This window comes from Homo sapiens, chromosome 3 (assembly GCF_000001405.40).
Source record: "Homo sapiens chromosome 3, GRCh38.p14 Primary Assembly".
Lineage (NCBI taxonomy): Eukaryota > Metazoa > Chordata > Mammalia > Primates > Hominidae > Homo > Homo sapiens.
In genome coordinates, this window is record NC_000003.12 from 4,533,061 (window position 1) to 4,554,945 (window position 21,885).

At 40.6% G+C, this 21,885-nt stretch overlaps 1 protein-coding gene across 4 annotated transcripts in view, besides 1 other annotated feature; it reads left to right on the forward strand.

Annotated features, from left to right (window-relative positions):
• Window positions 1-21,885, forward strand: part of ITPR1 (inositol 1,4,5-trisphosphate receptor type 1) — a 354,159-nt gene that overhangs the window by 39,713 nt on the left and 292,561 nt on the right.
• Window positions 745-1,039: an enhancer, noted in NCBI's record as "tiled region #14798; K562 Activating DNase unmatched - State 5:Enh". NCBI's record gives its function as "activates a minimal TATA promoter and a strong SV40 promoter by Sharpr-MPRA in K562 cells {active_cell/tissue: K562}" and the evidence as "EXISTENCE:reporter gene assay evidence [ECO:0000049][PMID:27701403]".

The following is a 21,885-nucleotide window of genomic DNA, read 5'->3' on the forward strand; positions in this document are numbered from 1 at the left end:
TGTGGAAGCCCTATGGTTGGGAGCGTTGGGTCAATAAACAGCTGGGGAGAGCACAGATGCACTGTAGACAAGAAACTCTCTGGAAACTGAATGGGTTCAATCCAATTGGTAAGAGAACATTAGTGGAAAGATGGCATTATTGAATGTTTGAAAAAATGAACAAATAGAAAAAAACAATAGCTTTCTAAGTCAAGGCTTGCCGAATCCGGTCATAATGAGTGGGTAAGATGTCCTGGGGAGACACTACAGCGTGGTGGTTAGGAGCACAGGCTCTGGAGTCAGTCATGGGTTCAAGTCCCTGCCCTGCTCTTACTAGTTATATGACCACAGGCAAGTCATTTAACCTGTCTATGCCTTAGTTTCCCCACCTGGCTGCCATGGTGAATAACACTGTGGAGCTGATAGGCTTGTGTGAGGATGATTTGGTGCATGTGTAACACAGTAAATACCTGCAATACAGCCTCAGCACTCAGTGAAGAGTGGCTATTGTGACTGAATTTGCAATTAGCAGCTTTCGGGACATCTCTTAGGAAGCTCAAACATGGCCTTTGCCATCTTGTAAAACATCGATATGTCCGTTTTAAAAACTCAGCCAGTGGAGTATACAAAGGAATCCATAGCCAGGCAGACTTTAGCCTTCCTGAATTTTTTAGATTTTATTGAGTGGGCCTGGTAACCAGCTATGACAGAGCTTGGGGCTATTAGAAAAGAAGCCATCAGGGCTTTTCTCTCCTCGCACGAGCCTTGATCAGAGCCTCAGTTACTGACGGGTCGTTTGCTCGAGATGGTAATCCTGCCTTCTGTATAGAATTACAAGCCTAGCCAGAGAGGAAGTTGTGTTTATCTTACCCCAAACAGCAGGCATTCCAGTGACTCTTGACAGACAGGAGGAAGTTATTGCCAATCTGCTCTTTCCCAAAAGCTGCCCTTCCCTGCCCCCAACGTGCTCCTTGCATGTTTAGAGAGGTTTCTGCCAGCCAGCCTGCCAAGTGGCATTCTCTCCCGGGCTTTGAGGACAGTTGCATTTGCAGAAGGAATGTCCAGAGGCTACTTCTTTTTCTCTTTTAATAGATTTAGGGGATACAAGTGCAGTTTTGTTACTTGGATGTATTGTGTAGTGGTGAACTTTGGTCTTTTAGTGTACCCATGGCCCCGGTAGTGAACATTGTACCCAATGGGTAATTTTTCAACCCGTACCACCCCCACACCTTTTGGAACCTCCAGTGTTTATTATTCCCCTCTATTATGTCCATGTGTACCCATTGTTTAGCTCCCCCGGTGGCGGCTACTTCTATATTATTGGCCAAGGTGGAGGCATCTCTCCCCAAGGTGAGTGGTCAGCCTGGCTCTTACAGGAGGCAAAAATTGTGCTTATTCTCATTGGCACTGATTTGGGAGAGATAAGTGGAGAGGGGCTATAGGTGTGAAGAAAAGAATACATCTTTTCAAAGAACCCACGTGTTTTCCTTTCCAAAACAATAGCTGGAGGTCAGTGTAGAAAAACTCCAACTTGAGCAGTTGCAATAATTGAGAAAATAAGTTGGGCAATTATTCCTCTAACTGAGATTTAAAAGTTCCTTTCTTCGTCTGGTATTTTTCCGGGTACATTTGAGTTCCAATTTGGGTGCTTCTGAAATGTCTGGATGTTTTGTGCTGCTAAAATTATATGTGTCTAAAAATGTTATCAGTGATGACACTTATATATAAGCTCGCTTGGACTTATGCTAGCAAATTTCTGTGACTAAGGTCCTCTCCTCCCCCTATAACCATTCCCAGAATCGTGGCATTTGAGGTAAAGGTAGGAAATAGAATAACCCAACTTAGGTTTAGCAATCAAGTGAAGGACTATCACTTGAGAACTTTGCTTCGGTCTTGTCGACAAAGAATACGGGGTTTTGTTACCATAGTTTCAGTGAAAAATTTGACCTTAGCTACAATAACATACAGTTAGAAAGAACCAGCTAATCGGTTTTCTAAAATTAGTGTTCTCTAGTACATAAACCAGTAGGAACAGAGTATTTAATTAAATATTATACAAGGATATAAAAGCCCAGGGGAATGCAGTCCCTTGATCTGGGCGGGGGGAGGGAGGAAACCCACAGTGCTCCTTTACTGGTCTCTTGCAAGCTACAAGAACTTTACTTCTTTTAAAAATGTTAGTATTGGTTTTATTTTCAGATCTGTCAGGAATGAATTTATACAGCTTGCTGAGAGAGCAAAATAAAACATTCAGCATTATTTCCAGTTGTCCCCTACAGGGTACAAACTAACAAGGCAAGATGTGAAAATGATGTTGGGCTAGGATTCTGATAAGGACACTTGTTGGTGATCTGCTAGATGACTTTATGTGAAGGAAAATTATTTTCTTTTTTTTTTTTTTAATTTTTTTTTTTTTTTTTTGAGACGGAGTCTTGCTCTGTTGCCCAGGCTGGAGTGCAGTGGCGCAATCTCGGCTCACTCCAAGCTCCGCCTCCTGGGTTCACACCATTCTCCTGCCTCAGCCTCCCGAGTAGCTGGGACTACAGGTGCCTGCCACCACGCCCGGCTAATTTTTTTTTGTATATTTAGTAGAGACGGGGTTTCACTGTGTTAGCCAGGATGGTCTCAATCTCCTGACCTTGTGATCCACCCGCCTCGGCCTCCCAAAGTGCTGGGATTAGAGGTGTGAGTCACCTCGCCCAGCCAGGAAAGTTATTTTCTCTCCAAAATCTGGGCATTTTAAAGCAACTAATTTCTAGACTCTTGTTCCTTTGAATGCCTAATGTGTGATTAAGTGGGGCCAACGTCTCCTAGTTCTGAGTACAGCTATATCTGCCTCCCCCAACTCCACAGGCCATAAGCAATAATCTGTATGAAGATTATGTAAAATTTGACATCTCTTTTCATCTACTTATCAAGAGCCCCAGCAGTAGCTCATGTTTCTGATAGTGGCTGGAAATGTCATCAATATTGTGTGAACTTAGAAAGCTGTGGTACCATTTCTGGAATGAAGTGGCTTCCAGATTTTGTAATTTCAGGACAAAGAGGTTTCTGGTCCTTCATTGACACTCTTCTCTGATTTTATTATCACCTGCCCTGGAGGCTGCAGAGGTGCAACTGGAGTTCAGTCGTTTGCCAGGTTTATCACTGATTGGAAACATTGCTCTGGGTTTTCTTGAACTTCTATTGTTGTATCTCTTTGTCAATTACATATTGATACATTTTCTTAATTTCAGTTTTATGATTTCAGCTTTTTAATTGGACTTTAAGATAACTATCTAATAGAATTGGAAGGGTGAGGTATATTTAAGGGAATACAAATGTTTTTGTTTGACGTTTTTACCATTTTGCATGTTTCTGTAGTGGCATCTCAACTATTGCAATGGAAAATATGTCCTTGGCAAGACTCTTAGAAACACAGCCTCAAAGGTCATTGGATTGTGCAAGCTTCTTGACTATTTACAAGGTCACCTACCTGAATGAATAGAAATGCTCCCTGCCCTTAAGGAATTTGCAATTTTATGAAGAGAGATGAGTGAGAACTACTTTGTGGATTATTCTTGGAGAATGTTGAATCCCAGATGAGCTTTTAGTCCCCTGATGTTCATTGTTTTTATCTATGCCATCAGATCACTGTGCCCAAATAATTTGAATTCATGTTAATAATAGCTTACGAAAAATGCAGTAAGAGAGCTTGCTGGAAAAGTGACAGCATGCATTTTAAATTACTTCTAGTTGACCTGGCTTTCATTACCCAAATATCCACAGGCCCTTCCATGAATATGGATAATTGAGTTGATATTTAGCAAATACCATTGAAGAGGTTAGATGTGTCAGGTTGGTTGTTGGAATGGTGAACTAGACTCTTGATTTTGGATGATAGCTTAAACTAACCTAAACAAAAGGGGGATTTTTTGGGGTCAATCCCAGACGAACAGCTGAATTGCATGAAGGACAGGAGTGCAGCAGGGGCTCAGGAAAACACAGATTCAGGCATTTGAGTACTGTCAGCAGCCTACGTCCATATCTTGTGTCTTCTTTCTGTGCATCTTTCACCTTGGTTTCTTGTCCTGTCCTCTTCGGGTTTTGATATCAAGGTTATACCACACTGAAAATGAGTTGTGGAGTGTTTCCTTTTTTTATTCTCTAGGGGAGTTTGTGTAATATTGGAATTATCTGTTCCTTGACAGTTTGGTAGAACACGTGAGTAAAGTCATCCCAGCCATCTGTTTTCTTTATGTCAAAATTAACTACTGATTCACATTCCTTATGTCTTTAAAGGGCTGTTTCTTCCTGGGTAAATATTGTAAGCTCTGTTCTTCTAGAAATTTACCCATGTCATCTAAGTTTTCAAATCTATAGTCTCCTTGTATTATTTTGTTCCTAGATTGACTGGTTTTGTCCTTGTGGTAGGCTGAAGAATGGCCCCTGAATGTCTTCATCCTAGTATATGTTACCTGTGAATATGTTACCTCATATGGTATAGGGATTTCACAGATGTGATTAATTAAGGCTCTTGAGATGGGGAGAGTATCCTGGATTTCCAGGTGTGCCTGATCACAAGGGTCCTTGTAGGCTAGAAGCAGGAGGATTCGAGTTAATAGGAGATGGGAGGATAGAAACAATAGGTTGGAGTGATGTAGCCATGAGCCAAGGAATGCAGGAAGCTGCAAAAGTCAAGAAAATTGATTCTCTCTTGAAGTCTCCAGAGGAATGCAGCCCTGCTGATACCTTGATTTTAGACTTCTTACCTCCATGACTTTGAGAGAGTAGATTTGTGTTGCTTTAAGCCACTACGTTTTTGATTATTTGTTATAGCATTGGTAAGAATACAGTAGTAATTGTCCTAATATTGTTTATTTGTGCGTTCTTTTTTTTCTTGAATAAGCACTGACCCATGTTTTTTCTGTCTTATTACTCTTTAAAGAAACAAATTTTGGCTTTATTAATTCTTTCTACGATAGGTTGGTTTTGAAGTTCATTAATGTTTGCCTTTGTTTTTATTTTCTTCATTCTCTTTCTTTAGATTTATTTTGTTCTTCCTTTATTCTTTTAAATTAGATAATCAATTTACAAATCTGACTTCTCAAATTGTAATGTTAAGCATCTTAATCTATAAATTCCCTTAAAATATTGCCTTAAACTTAAACAAATTTACAAGAAAAAAACCAAACAACCCTATTAAAAAGCAAGCAAAGGACATGAACAGACACTTCTCAAAAGAAGACATTTATGTGGCCAAGAAACATATGAAAAAAGCTCGACATCACTGATCATTAGAGAAATGCAAATCAAAACCACAGTGAGATACCATCTCACGCCAGTCAGAATGGTAATTATTAAAAAGTCAGGAACAACAGATGCTGGTGAGGTTGTAGAGAAATAGGAATGTTTTTACACTGTTGGTGGGAATGTAAATTAGTTCAATCATCATGGAAGACAGTGTGGCGATTCCTCAAAGACCTAGAATCAGAAATACCATTCGACCCAGCAATCCCATTCCTGGGTTTAAACCCAAGGGAATATAAATCATTCTGTTCTAAAGATACATGCACATGTATGTTCATTGCAGCACTATTCACAATAGCAAAGGCGTGGAATCAACCCAGATGCCCATCAGTGATAGACTGGATAAAGAAAATTTGGTATATATACACCATGGAATACTATGCAGCTATAAAAAGGAACAAGATCATGTCCTTTGCAGGGACATGGATGGAGCAAACTAATTCAAGAACAGAAAACCAAACATTGCATGTTCTCACTTATAAGTGGGAGCTGAACAATGAGAATGCGTGGACACAGAGAGGGGAGCAACACACACTGGGGCCTTTTAGGGGATGGGTGAGGGGAGGAAGAGCATCAGAATAAACAGCTAATGCATGCGGGGCTTAATACCTAGGTGATAGGTTGATAGGAGTAGCAAACCACCATGACACATATTTACCTATGTAACAAACACATGCACATCCTGCACATGTATTCCAGAACTTAAGATTTTAAAAAATTTATATGTATGCATATGAAATAATTATAAACATTGACTTCAAAAAATTGCCTTAGTTTCTTCCTACACATTTTGACATGCAGTATTTTTCTTATTGAGTTCTAATTATTTTCTTATGTCTGTTATTTTTTATACCTACGAGTTATTTAGAAGTATTTTTATAGTTCTGATTTTAAGGGATGTTTCTAGTTCTCTTTTTTGAAAAAATGTTTTACAACTTAGTTGTGTGTTGGTCAGATAATATCTTTGTTTTATCAGTCCTTTACAACTTGAGAGGCTTGCTTTGTGGCCTAGCAAGTTATCAAATTTTATGCATGTTCTACTGTGCTTGAAAGAATATATATATATTTCCAATCTTAGGTGCAATGTGCTATATATGAGTTTGTTGGTTTTTTTATCTCCTTGATCTATCCAGTGTTGAGAGACATTTGTTAAAATTTTCTATTAATATTTTGGGCTTATGGAATTGTTCCTGATTATGGTGGTGGTTGCATGAATTTGTGTATATGTTAAAACTCATAGAACTGTATACGGTGCTATGGCTTGAATGTCCCCTCCCAAAACTGAGGTTGGAACTTGGTCTTCAATGTGGCAGTGTTGAGAAGTGGGGCCTTTAAGAGGTGATTCATTCATGGACTAATGGATTTAATGGGTTAATGGATTAATGAGTTATCATGGAAAGAGAACTGATGGCTTTATAAGAAGAGGAAGAGGGACCCAAGTTAGTACATTAGCATGCTCAGCCCCATCGCCATGGGATACCCTGTGCTGCCGAGGGACTCTTTAGAGAGTCCTTACCAGCAAGAGGGCTGTCACCAGATGTGGCCTCTGACTTGGATCTTCTTACCTTCTATAACTTAAGAAATAAATTTCTTTTCCTTACAAATTACCCAGTTTCAGGTATTCTGTTATAAGCAATGGAAAGCAGACTAAGATGCAAAAAAAAAAAAAAAAGGAAAATTACTTACAGTGAATTTTACTATAAGTAAATTAGTTAAAAGGGTTAAAAAAATTCTCACTGTGACAGTAGGTGTGCAATTTTGCCTTGTAGTTTTTAAGTTTTTTAAAAAGGTTTTTTCTTTTGCCTTACCCTCAGTTTTTTCTTTATGTATAATGAGGTTATATTAGTAAATGCTTAGATTTATACAATTATTATTACTTTCTGGTGAACTAAATATTTATCATTATGTAAGAAACATTTTTCTTTCTAATGGTGTTTGACGTCTTATAGTCTGTTTTGTCTGATATTAATATACCTACACCAGAATTGTTTTAGTTAGTATTTGTTTAAATATACATTTTATTTACTTTTAAATTCTCTGTCATTATATTTTAGAGCTGTCTCTCATAAACTGTACATAACTAGAGAACTACTCTCTCTGACCATCTTTGTCTATTATCTATTAATTGGAATGTTTAGTCCATTTACATTTGTTGTAATGTATTTATATTTATGATTTTAATTTGTGGGGTTTTTTAAATCTTTTTTTCCCCCTCCTTTAAGTTTCATCGAAGGCTTTTGTGTGTGTGTGTATGTGTGTGTGCACGTGTGTGTGTTTGAGACAGGGTCTCACTCTGTCACACAGGCTGGAGTACAGTGGCTTGATCTCGGCTTGCTGTAATCTCTGCCTCCTGGGTTCAAGTGGTTCTCCCCCTGAGTAGCTGGGATTACAGGCATGCCACCATGCCTGGCTAATTTTTGTATTTTTAGTAGAGACAGGGTTTCAACATATTGCCCAGTCTGGTCTTGAACTCCTGGGCTCAAACTATCCACCTGCCTCAGGCTCCCAAAGTACTGGGATTACAGATGTGAGACACCACGCCTAGCTGTGCTTCATTGAAGGTTTTTTTCATTGTTGTTCTCCATTCTGTTATTTCCCCCTCTACTGATTTGGAGGATATACTTTATATGTGTTTTTTTTTAATAGAAGTTACCTCAGATATTTTAACGTGCATATTTAATTAACCCTAAAGTTTATAACTATCATTATTCTCTCCTACAATACTAGGACATTATAGAATATTTAAACTCCTGTCATCCTCTCTCAGTCTATGCTCCTGTTCATGATGTTAGTGCTTTGTTTTATATTAAAACTTGCATATTAGATATGATTTTGTTTTATATTGTCATTAAAAAAATTAACTTACGTATTAGTATTTACTATACCTATCTTGGATAATTTTTTTTCTGCCTCAAGCACATTCTTAGAATTTGGAGAATCTGTTAGTGGTAAATTCTATTTTGTTTGAAAATATTCACTTTTAATTCTCTGAAAATTTTACTTTTATTTTTAGGTGACAGTTTTGCTTGGTTTAGAATTGTAGATTGATGGGTACTTTCTGTCAGCATCATTATTTTTTTGCCTTTCATTGTTGTTAAAAGCAACCTTGCTCAGTATTTTTTTTTCCCCTCTGGTTACTTTAGAGGAATCTCTGTCTTTGATTTTCTGTAATTTTACTAGTATGAATATAGGTGTCAGTTTCTTTTTATTTATCCTGCATGATATTTGTTAAGTTCCTAGATTTGAGGTTGTTTTTTGTTAGCAATTATGGAGAATTCCGAGCTGTTATCTATTCAAATACCACTTTTTTTTTTTTGAGATGGAGTCTCACTCTGTTGCCAGGCTGGAGTGCAGTGGCGTGATCTCGGCTCACTGCAACCTCCGCCTCCCAGGTTCAAGCCGTTCTCCTGCCTCAGCCTCCCGAGTAGCTGGGACTACCAGCACGTGCCACCATGCCCAGCTAATTTTTGTATTTTTAGTAGAAATGGGATTTCACCATGTTGGCCAGGATAGTCTCAATCTCTTGACCTGATGATACACCCACCTTGGCCTCCCAAAGCGCAAGGATTATAGGCATGAGCCACTGCGCCCAGCCGCTTTAGGCTATTTTTTAATCTCGCCATCTTTTTCATCTTTGCTCCATAGGCTGGACTCTAGGTAATTTCTTCTCATCTTTGTTTACTATTTCTGTTCTATTATAATCTGCTCTGTATTCATTGAGAGTTTAATTTGAATTATATTTTTCCATTTCTAAATGTTCTATTTGGGACTTCTGAAACGTTTGGTCATTCTCATTCCTCCATATTTTCAAGCTTCTACTTTACTTCCTGTTACCAAAAAAGCACACTTTAAATATATTCTATCTCTAAAAATTACAGTAGGTGCTATCTCTACAGATCTTATTCTATTTTCTACATTGGCTGTTTCTGAAAATGGTATCTTATTTCCCTGTGTGTTTTGTGATTTTGACTATCAGCTTGTGTTTTTTTGGCATTTCATCTGTGGGAATTGTTTGAGGCCTGGGTTAAAGTCATGTTTCTCCCCAGAAAATTGTTTCCTTTTGCCAGTTGCCAGAGATGCTGCCAACTCAAGACTATTTAAATCAAATTCTTTGCCTGAAAATTTTAAAATTTTGTTTTAGGTATTTTTTGCTTAAATTTTGGGAATTTCCTATATATGTTAATTAGGGTGACAAACGAGTATGAGGGTAACTTATTTATCTTGACTTTGGCTCTAGGTATAAGAGAGAAAACTCTCCTCGTAGTTCACAAACAAGTTACCTTGCCTTCCTATTTTTAGGGTTGGTTGGTTTGTTGTTCACCATTGCATTGAAGCTGTAGCTTCTTGTGTGTGGCGGGGGGGTGGGTCTGAGCTTTATGCAATGGTCTCTTAGAAAACTTTTGATCTTGAGTAGGTGCAGAGCTTTATCCCCTCTACCTGGCACTAGTATCATAATGGAAGGTTATTAGGTTCTCCAGATATTCTCAGAGTTCTCGCTTTAGAAAGGACATACCTTCCAGGGGTCTTGTTTCCACTTCATTGCGGGCTTCTCTGGATTCCCTTCTATATAACTGCTTCAGTACATTTCAAAATGTTTTCTAATATTTCATCCAGCTTTTTCTGTGTATTAATTGATACTGTAAGAAATGCATACTTGCTTCCTGCTCCTTTTTTTGTCTCACTGTCATTTTCTGTGTGATTGAAAACATTGCTACCCATAGCTCTTAAAATGTATAATTTTACAGTTATAATCATTGGAGAAAGACTGATCCGTGTTTGAATATTTAAACAAGTGCCTGGGTGTGGTGGCTCACACCTATAGTTTCAGCTACTCGACAGGCTTAGGTGGGAGGATTGCTTGACCCCAAGGCTGCAGTGAGCTGTGATTGTGTCACTGCACTGCAGCCTGGGCGACAGAGCAAGAGCCTGTCTCAAAAAAAAAAAAGAGAAAAAAAAGAAAAAAGCAATTCTAGATAAGGAACTTTGTGGTTGAGTTTGGGTCAGATTTCCTCCTCTGGGTCAATCTGCTTAGGCTGGGGACTTGGATTACCTGTGTTAACATGGAAGCTCCCAAGAAAACCATTTAGGCTAGACTCAGTTCCAAAAACAAATCAAAACAAAACAAAACAAAAACAAAAACAAAACAGGTAATAAATATACAGTCCAGGTATCCACTGTGATGGTAATCAAGGGATAAAGAATGATATTTGTTCAAGTGATCCTCTTGCCTCAGCCTCCTGAGTAGCTGGGGCTATAGGCACGTGCCACCACGCCTGGCTAATTTTTGTATTTTTAGTAGAGATGGGGTTTCACCCTGTTGGCCAGGCTGGTCTTGAACTCCTGATCTCAAGTGATCTGCCCACCTCGGCCTCCCAAAGTGCTGGGATTACAGGTGTGAGCCACCATGCCTGGCCGTATTTAAGTCTGTTAGGAATGATTTTGACTGCAAGTAAGAGAGAAAATCCACCTAATAGTGGCTTAAAACATAAGGGCATTTGTTGTTTCCTTAGAAATCCAGAGATAGGCAATATCTTATGTAGTGAAAGTCTCAAAATCGTGTCTTTTTGCTCCACATCCTTAGTGTATGGGTGCCCCCATCCCCACCATGTTCTTGTCACTTCATGGTTACAAAATAGCTGCAGTGGTTCCAGGCATCCTGTTTGCTTTCATGATAAGGAATAAGGGACAACACAGTGAGCTCTCCTTTCATTCCTGTTCCTTTTTTTTTAAGACAACAAAAACTTATCTTCATGCTCCTAGCAGTCTACTTTTATTTCATTAGTCAAAATTGGGTTTAATGCTTATTCCTAGCTGCAGAGAGTTTGACTGGAAGTGAGGTTTTGTCTTTTCAGCCTTTATGTTAAGAAGCAGCCAGGTCACCATGTGGTGGAAATTGTTTGGGAGACAACAAGCTTTCTATACTGTGGTTTATTGGTTGCACATTGAGGAATCCAAGTGATTCTCCTTCCATCTAGTTTTTAGTGTCTTGGTGATTGAAGAATACCAGCTTTTGTCGACAGTACAGGTAATGTAACTATCCACAGGAGCAAGTAGCTCTTACTCTAGCCATCTCAAATGGATGCAAGCAACCATACGTATTCACCTGATGCCAGTATTCACCATAAATAGTATGAGTGTTAGTGACAGCAGAGGCTTTAATGAGTAATAGGCACTTCATTTGTTTTATTGGCTTGCATCTGAGAAGTACCTAAGCTAATAGTTTCTGCTTTTTGTTAGTGATGCCTTAGTTTGGCTAGCTAAGTGGGGCTAGGTAAAGAAAAAAGCATTTTATACACATGACCAAGTTTGGGAGGGATCCTCTCAGTCGTTTTGGACTGACATTGCTAACTTCGTAAAGGGAAATGCATAGTCTGAGATTTTCTCTTTATCTGTCATCCCTTTTAAGTGATGGCGTTGGCAGAGGGTCATTCTCTTAGCTTGCCCATAGCTTTGCTTTCATTGCAACAACAACTTTTTATTTTTTAGACAGGGTCTTACTCTGTTGCCCAGACTGGAGTGCGTGTGGTGGTGCACTCACAGCCTACAGCCTTGACCTCTTAGGCTTAAGCAATCCTTCCACTTCAGCCCCCAAGTAGCTGGGACTATAGGTGTGTGCCACCATGCCTGGCTAATTTTGTTTATTTTTTTGTATAGATGGAGTCTCCCTATGTTGCCCAAGCTGGTCTCGAACTCCTGGGCTCTAGCAATCCTTCCGCCTCAGCCTCCCAAAGTGCTGGGATTACAGGTGTGAGCCACTGTGCTCAGCCTGGAGCTTCTCATGAATCAAAAGCTCCCTGGTAGAATCAAGAACAATTTGGTTAATAATTTTCACCCTCGAACAGATGAGAGAAAAACCCAAAATGAATCAGTTGATCTGTTTAAACTTTAATATTTATTTTCCTTTTCATCCTAAAGGAGGAAGTAGTTTTTCCCAGAAAGCAGTGTGGAAACTTTCCTGTTCTTATTTCTATACTTGTATATGGAGGCTGCTTATGGTATATTAAAGAATTTGGACTGGGTACAGTGGCTCCTGCCTGTAATTCCAGCACTTTGGGAGGCCAAGATGTGAGGATCACTTGAGCCCAGGAGTTTGAGACCAGTCTGGGCAACAAGGTGAGACTCCGTCTCTACAGAAAATAGAATAATTTGTTGGGCTTGGTGGCACATGCCTGTGGTCCCAGCTACTGAGGAGGCTGAGGTGTAAGGATCTCTGGACCCTAGGAGACTGAAGCTGAAGTGAGCCATGACTGTGCCACTGCACTGCAGCCTGGGCAACAGAACGGGACCCGGTCTCAAAAAAAAAAAAAAAAAAAGGCTTTGGAAGCATCTTTTTTTGTGTTCATATCACGGCTAGTATGCAAACTTTTTTTTTTTTTTTTTTTTTTTAAAGACAGAGTCTTGCTCTGTCACCCAGGCTAGAGTGCAGTGGCGTGATCCAGGCTTACTGTAGCCTCAGCCTCCTGGGCTCAAGTGATTCTCCCGCCTCAGCCTCCTGAGTAGTCAGGACTATAGGCTAGGACCCCCATGCTTGGCTAATTTTTAATTTTTTGTAGAGACGGGATCTCACTATGTTACCAAGGGTGGTTTTGAACTCCTGAGCTCAAGCGATCCTCCTGCCTCAGCCTCCCAAAGTGCTGGGATTACAGGCGTGACATGTGATCTTGAGCGAAATATTTAATTTTTCTATGTCTTAATTTGCTCTTGAGTAAAACGGTCACAACAAGAACAACTTTAGAGGTTCGGGGGATTAAAGGAGATATGCAATGCTCTTGAGACAACGTCAGGTACATTTTAAGCGTGCAGTCAGTGTACATGATTATCATGATAATGATGTAAATTTTTCCCCCTCTTCTTGAGTTCTTCTTGAGTTGGAAGAAGGAATTCTTTTCTTTGAGAGGATAGAGTTGGGGAGCAGAAAGTGTCTTCTCCAGGCACCACGGCAGGACCTTAGGATTGCTGGTGCATTAGAGGGTGTGAGCACTCGAACCTGTCATCTGCTTCTATGTCATTTTTTCCTCATCACAACTTTGTGAAGTTGGTGGATTATACCCATTTTCCAGCCAAAAGAGGATGACCTCTGAGGTTATGAAACTTGCCCAAACTAAGAATTCTAGCCAGAGGTAGAGCCAAGACTTGGAGCTAAGAGTTCCTGAATCTTTCCTCCTTTCCAGGAGTTCTTGCCTCAGACAGAGCTCGTGCACCGTTCACTCTAGCTGGTGTTCCTCTGACCAGTCAGTAGCAAATGCATGCTCTGCCTTCAGCCACAGAAGTCCGCAAGCAGTAGTGTCCTTTGTGTTGTTTCCTCTTAAAACGTCATCTACTTAAACAGGTTGTGAATCTGTCTTAAGGATAGACAAATAATTTAATGGCAGAGGTGTAGGGTGATGATTCAAATTCAGTGACATAAACCAAGCGCTGGGCCAACTCTGACCTTTTTTTTTTTTTTTTTTAATCCCTTTGAATCATCTTGTGCTGCATTCTGATGAAATCTTGACATACCACCCTGAAGGAAGTGCTGTGTGAAGAAGTGTGGGCTCATAAGATAGGACCAGGGGAAGAGAGGGGCCACTGAAGGCTTAACTTTGAGTGTTTGGAAAACAACACTGGTTTAGGAGCTGGAGGACTTGAGTCCCAGTCTTTGGTTTGTCCCTGACTAGCAGTGTGACCTCCAATAACGCTCTTGACCTGTCTGGGCCTTTGCTGCTTCATCTGTGGCATGAACACGTTGGACTAGAAAGTGAAACACAGCAAAACTTTTATTGAGTGTCTACTCCATTCAAGGCCTGTGCTAGGCATGATTTATAGTACGGTTGTAGTTACAGTCTCTTCACTGTCTCAGATTCCCTCACGTCCCTGATAAACTTTAATTTCTCTTTTAGGAAAGATTCGGCCTGACATTTTATTTTTATTCTTACATCTTAGTTTTAAGAAGCACATAGATTTATCACTTACATTTACTCATATGAATAAATAACATATGTATTTATTAAAGCCACTTAGCAAAGGAATTAAAACTTTCTTCTAAACTTACCATTCATGGAAAGCTGTAATATAAGCAATGAAAAGACCGTTCTTCACATGTGTCTTGTGTTACTGCTCCTGGGCCTCCTACTTCCATTTCCCTCTAGATGACATGGATTTGTCCCCCTTAATTGTATCCAGGCCTCTATGGCTTCAAAGGACTTTAGCACATAGGGCGGTAGGGTGGCACGGTGACAATATGAAAGACTCTGTAATGTAACTTGGGTTCAAGTACTGGCTTTACCATTTATTACACGCTAATACCTTTGGAACTTAGTTACTTAAACTGTAGCATAATATCCACATCAAGAAAGGTGATCTGTTAGGAGTCTCGTAGGCACATAAAAAGGTTGATTCCCAACCCCCTTCATATGCAGTTACACTGGGAATTTAAGTATTTACCCAGTCCGAGGAGTTCAACCTCAAATACATCAAAACCACCCTTGCCCTTCCCTCCTCAGGACTTAGTGGGTGATAGGTGGAATATCAAACAGGACACCAGCCTGTTTCTTTGTGCGGAGGCCTTTGAGTATCATTCAGATTATTTTTTTTTCACTCTGTTAAATTCAAGTTACTTCTGCATCCACTTACGAAGCATAGCTACAGGATTGGCTCAGTCTAAGTACCGGCCTGTGAGTAAGCCATTCTACTTCTTATTTCTCATGTTGAATTTAATAATCAGACCCTCTCTTATTTGTCAGCACTTTGTCAGAGCTATGTAGGGTGAGGGAGTCTTTCCCCAGCTCAGCCCAGGTTTGTTTTTAGTACTGGATAAAGTTAATAAGACTTTATCTGACTGTAAGTGGAAAGACACAGCCAAGATTAAATTGCAATTGAGTTAAAACCGGTGGAATTGGATTTGGTTAATTGATTGTGTACTATGTCTCAGTCAGCATTCATCTTCAGTTTTTCACCTTTGTACTGCATTCAAACATCAAGTTTGGGTTGGTTATACATTTGGATTTCCTTTTCCACAATATTTTCTAGCAACATCATTCAAGAACTCGTAAAGTGAAAAGGGGTGTGCGTGTGTGTGAAACTAGGACATTCTTGTCTTTTTAGTAAATACTCATTCCTTTATTTCTTATTGCTCTAATGGCATGTGACTTTAATTTGGTCTATTTAGCAACTGTTTAATTTCTGTCATGCAGAAAACAAATTTCAGCACCTTTTCCCGAAGCCCGTATGCCTCCTTATGAAATGTACAGGTAGTGATGAATGAACTCTTTGTCCTGTTTATTGGAGTTGTGCCAGTGACCCTTTTCATTGGTCACTTCAGTTCGTTCAAGGTGACATGAAAGGCATTTTATTTGGGGGGATGTCTCAGTCAAGTCAGGAGTTTCATTTGGGGGCTAAATTTGAGGGCTAGTAACTAAATTGAAAAGCCACTAGCCCTCCAATTTTAATCTGAAATAACTAATGACCTTTTAATCTAAAGTAACTTCTTAGAAACCCACATTCTCTGTAAGTCAGAGAAACAAGTTTCCAGTAAGTGTTTGCATTAGACACTTGTTCCAATTCTCACCTAGTCTGGGAACCCCATTAAGAAGATCTGGGTTATTCTCCCTTCTCAGTAAAAACTGACTTCTTGAAATGGAAGGCCGATGTGTGTTCCCATGTTACCAAGGAGTCACTTTTCGGGAGGGGGGGACTTGTTTTTCTTCTTGGTCACAGAGTGCAAACAACACCAGGCCACTCTTGGTTGTCAAGTTAGCAGGAAAGAACTTAAGCCCTCTCCATTTGTTAATTTTTATGAATTATTAGTTAACATGAAAATTGTAGTGTGTAAATGTTTACAAAGAAACTTCTAAATACCAATTTGCCTTATAATACATAGTTTAAATAAATATGATGCTTTTCTTTTTAAAAATAGACAAATGCACTGACAGGGGTATTTAGTAATCATTGTTTGCATTTTGTCACAGAATGTTTAAAATTGACATTGCACATAATTTAGAGACTTAACCAGGGCGGTTTAAGCAGAGGGGCCTGAAGTTATTTTTCTGTGGCAAAAAATAAAAAGTAGGAAAGAACTTCTAAGCTTCTAAAATCCTGACAGCCTCATTGTAAATGAAGCATTAAAGTGCTTTGTTCATTTCTCACAAACATCAGCCCTTGAATTTGGAGGACCCCTCCCTCCCTCCCTCTCTTCCTTTTTCCCTTCCTCCCTTCCTTCCTCCCTTCCTCCTTTCCCCTTTTCTTTCTTTTCTCTTCTTTTTGAAACCTGGAACATTTTGGTATCTCTGACCAGATGAATTTTTTCCCAAGTGCCTTAGGTGCTGTCTTCCATCTGAAAAGTGGGGCTGCCGTCCTCTTCTGGGGAATGGAACCAAAGTCTTGGGTTCTTCATCTTGGGTTTTCATCAGTAGCCTCTGGCCCTTTTTTCCTCCTAGACCTATAACTTGGAGTGCTGAGAAGTAAGAAATTGTCAGAATTAACTGTCTCTTTCTCTTGGGCCATTTCTCTGCATATTCTCCCATGGAGGTGATTCTGACTCAGGAAATGCCCCCACATAGTCGGAACCTTTCGAGGGCAGAAAAGGGAGGAAAGAAAAGGACGTGGATATGTCTACTAACTGAAAAGCCAAGGGTGGTTTGTTCTTCCCTGCCGCCAAAAAACAAAACAAGATTTTCTTCTTGAGACAACCCTTCAATGCCTCTGTTTTCTTTAGAGGACTGTTTTGGCTAATGAAATCAATGTCTGCAGGATTTCCTGTGCTTTCAGTCTCTTTCTCTATAGTTTTAACATTCCCCTGTCATTATTAGCAAGTTGTCTGCTAACAGCTTGGCGCATGCCAGAAAGCTATTCTCGGTGGGGTTAATTTCTGGCTATTAAAAGTTCTCTGAGACCCCAGATCTCTCTGAGCAGGGCCATGTTGGGGATTTCCAGCACATGTGCTGTTTAGACTCAAGGGCCACAGCAAGCTTCCCCATCTCACAGCAGAAACACTGTAGGCACAGGTGACAGCAAATGGGCATTGACCAGTCCGCTGCCAGAGCGCTTGGTGACCGTCCAACCCACAGACGCGCTGCCATCTACCTAACGGGGTCGTGACAGTGATTTTATTGCGTGCTTCATGAAAATCATGTAGTGCCTGGTCCATAATAAATGATTGCAGACTATTGTTATCCTCATGCCTGGGACATAATAAATATCCCTAAACTGTTACATGAAAAATAGAAATTCCCTGAGAGCATAATTAGGCCAGTTATCTCCAAGTTAGATTTCGTTCATGGGACAAATGGCAGACTTTTCCAGCATGGGCTGAAAGAAGTAAAAAAAAGAAGAAACACTGAGAGGTAGGAGGACTGCTTGAAACTAGGGGTTTGAAACCAGCCTGGGCAACATAGTGAGATCCTGTCTCTACAAAAAATTAAAAAGTTAGCGAGGCATAGTGGTACACACATGTAGTCCCAGCTACTAGGGAGGCTAAGGCAGGAGGCTCATTCAAGCCCAAGCCCAGGAAGTAGAGGCTGCAGTGAGCTATGATCATGCTACTGTACTCCAGCTTGGGTGACAGAGGCAGACCCTGTCTTTAAAAAAAAAAAAAGAAAGAAAAGAAACACTAACTTGTTGAAGATTGAGATGACTCCACTAGGAACAAAAATGGTTGGTGAAGAGGAAGAGGACTGAGAATAGAATAGTGCTGCCTGCCTTTGTGTTTACATCTCACATAGAGCTATCTTCCCCTCCCCACAGAGCAGATGTAGCTGAAGTGCTCATGTGTATGTATTTGAGGGGACAGCAACTTGGAAGAGAAGATACCAGCTGCGGCATCTCATAGTGGAGGTTTGGAGGCCAAGGCAGGGCTTCAGGGAAGTGCCTTTTCTGCAACATGTGTTTTGTTGCTCTTATTCTTGTCTTGGTCTGCTTGTAACAACAACAAAAAAGACCATCTGGAGTCTAGAAGGCAAAAATAATGGGAATGAAGAGATGGTGTTAGAATCATAGCAGTATCACCGTATTTATGGGATGAGTTATTCTACTGGCCCTCACTTTTGGTGCTGAGATTGAGATGTGAAATCATGAAGCGATTCAGAAATGTGTCCTTATGAAAATACTGTCTTCTGATAGCTTCAGCATACAGGGTTTTTTATGAGAACAGATCTTTCTAATCTCTCAGCGTTGCCAAGAAGTGTCCATGCTTCTTATCTAGAGAGATTATTCCATGTTTTAATTATAAAGGGTTGAGTAGCTGTTTCAGGGCTGACGTTGGTTCTTGCTCATGAATCAAGGTCACAACAGAGCTCACCCCTGGCCTTGGCCAGGGACTTAATGTTCATTCAGCAAACATCTGCCAAACCCTCACTATATTTACAGCATGTGTTAATTGTAGTGGGCTAGATACAGATAATACTCCATGTATATAGTACTTTTAACAGTTTCTAAAGGCTTATTCTCTTATTCACATGAAGAATCTGAAATCAGAGAAGTCGGCTTAAGTTATATAGCTGGTAAGTCAACAAGCAATAGCTGCAACCAGTCGTATCTTATTTTTTGACTACATCTCTGCTGTCTGAGGCAAGGTCCCTACTCTCAAATGAGTTAACTTTTAATAGAAAAGATAATTTGATTGACTCTAACGAACATTTATTACATATGCTCTGGAGGTTCCATGTGAAACAGGCTTGTCTTTAATCTAGGTCTCAGGATAGCAGAAGTAATCCCATTTGTATTTTTATCTGTTTTGTTTAGGATGCTTATCACAGTTCTAATGCAGAAATTATTTGGATAATTCTGATTGTGGAAAAAAACAAACTCAAAGTGCTTTTTCTAGTCTCTCACTCAACAGCAGTCAACACAGATTTCTGTGACAAACGGGGTGGGGGAAATTCTCCCCATCACCAAGCAAGCAATCAATTCTGCAGCAGACAACAGCTGGGTATCTTCTATTTTAATGTTTAACTGGTGATAGTATTAGATCCCACAGATTGGAGGCTCAGCCCCCAAGAATGCCCCACCTCCCACCTGACACACCAGTCTGGGCCTCTGGAACGTCTGACTGACTGGCTTTAAGTTTGGATTCCTATGACCACCTCTTTGGGTTGGATTAATTTGCTAGAGTGGCTCACACAACTCAGGGAAGCATGTTTACCCATTTATTATAAAGGATATTACAAAGGATACAGATAACCAGAGGAGGAGATACACAGGGTGAGGTCTGGAAGGGTCTTGAGTGTAGGAGCTTCTGTTCCTATGGAGTTGGGGCCCACTATCCTCCCAGTGGGTGGATGAGTTCTTGTTCACCATCTTGTCTGCCTCCACATGTTCAGTTATCTGAAGCTGGTCCTTTTGGGTTTTTATGGAAGCTTCATTATGTAAGCATGATTGATTAAATCATTGGCCATTGGTGATCAACTTAACCTTCAGCCTCTCTTCCCTCTCCTCTTTCTGGGCTGAAAGCTGGACCCTCTAATCCTGCCTTGTTTTTTTCTGGTGACCAGCTCCATCTAGAAGCTGCCTGGGGGCTGCCAGCTACCAGTCAACTCATTAGCATGCAAAAGACATCACTTTGGCATTTCTGAGGATTTTAGGGGTTGTATGCCAGGAAACAGGGTCAAAGACCAAATATATATTTCACAATGTGACAGTAATGATTTATTTTATGCCTAACTCCGCTGCTAGATTGTGGGTAGGGACTTTCTCGTTGACCCCAGCATCCCCAACACAAAGTGAAACATCTGTCAGAAAACAGATGTGTCTTTCATCACAAAAGCATGTTGAATGAGTGCACTATAAAGAATAGATGAGGTGCTGTTTTAAAGTGCCATGGGACCACAGATGAAGTTTATTGTGGTGGGAGGTGATGTCATGAGTAGAAAAACTTACGGAGAAGGCATATTAAGCCGGGCAACAAAGGATGGGCGGGCATTAAACATGAATGGAGTGAGGGTTGGGATAGAGGGGTGGGACATTTTTCTACAGTGAATTACAGGACCAAAGACACAGATGGGCAGACTCCAGCTATGATTTTTTTGACAGATAGACAGGGTGTGTGAGGTTGAGGCTTAAGTGGTTTATTGGTACCAGATTTTGAAGTCTTTGATTGACTAAGACATTTGAAGTTTGTTCTTGCTATTGTTATTATTATTTTGTTTTGAGGGAGGGTCTTGCTGTGTCACCCAGGCTGAAGTACAGTGGTACGATTTCAGCTCAATGTAACCTCTACCTCCTGGGCTTAAGCAGTCCTCCCACCTCAGCCTCCTGAGTAGCTGGGACTACAAGCGCGTGCCACCACGCCTGGATAATTTCTTTTTTTTTTTTTTTTGAGACAGAGTCTCCTTCTTGTCGCCCAGGCTGGAGTGCAATGGCATGATCTCAGCTCACTGCAACTTCTGCCTCCCAGGTTCAAGTGATTCTCCTCCCTCAGTCTCCTGAGTAGCTGAGATTACAGGTGCCCACCACCACGCCTGGCTAATTTTTGTATTTTTAGTAGAGACGGGATTTCACCATGTTGGCCAGGATGGTCTCGAACTCCTGACCTCAGGTGATCCACCTGCCTTGGCCTCCCAAAGTGCTGGGGTTACGGGCGTGAGCCACCACGCCCAGCCTGGCTAACATTTTTTAGTTGTTTAGAGACAGGATTTTGCCATGTTGCCCAGGCTGGTCTTGAAAACTCCTGGGCTCAAGCAGTCCGCCCTCCTTGGCATCCCAAAGTGCTCGGATTACAGGTGTGAGCCACCGCGCCCAGCCTTACTACTATTATTAATTTTAAAAAGAACCTTTATTGGTATCTTACTACACTAAATGTATTATGTTCATTACTTCATTTAGCAGTGAGGGCAATCCCATCTTATTGGTGAGGAAACAGGTTCAGAGAGTTTAAGTATCTTGCCCAAGGTAACAGTCACTGAGTGGCACAGTTAGTGATGAATTCTGTTCTCTTTGATAGGAATAGAGGCCCACTGATACCTGTGAGCTTAGCAGTGTATCATTCTTTATTTTGTCAGAAATGAGTACAGTGTTTGGCACATCATAGGTGCTCCAGGTTTTAGAGAATACATTTTTTGCCGAGTCGCAGAAGGAATCAGTACTTTCCTTTAGGAAGATTAGTCTGGTAATTACGTGTATTGGCCTAGTTAGTAAATGTTTTTTGTGGGCATGAATCAATTGAATCCTTGTTTTTGATGCTGGCTATGTGCCAGGCACTGGTGTAGGTGCTGGGGACCTACGGTGGTGAGCTCACTGGTGGGTTGGGCTGGAGAGAAAGGGGTCGTAGGGTGGCAGGCAGGCTGGTTGGGAAGGAGTGACAGTGTGGCTACAGGTTACATCAACCCCCTGAGAGAGAGCAGATGGGCAGAGACTGAGGACTGAGGTTTCAGTTAACCCGGTGGTAACCTAGAATCATGATGGGGGCCAGTGACTCGAAATATCTGTCTCACTGGTCATTGGGTGGAGGATGACAACCTGCCCCTGATTTTAAAACAGCAGTTTCTTGTCTTCCTGCTTGTGGGTGGATTAATTGGGTTACATATGTTTATGAATGATAGTGTAAATACATTTCTGATGACAATCTGGGGAAAAAAGCAAAAATGGCAATAAAAGAACTGTTGCTCATATATCAATGGATAAGGCAATTATCTTCTCTAGGAGCAC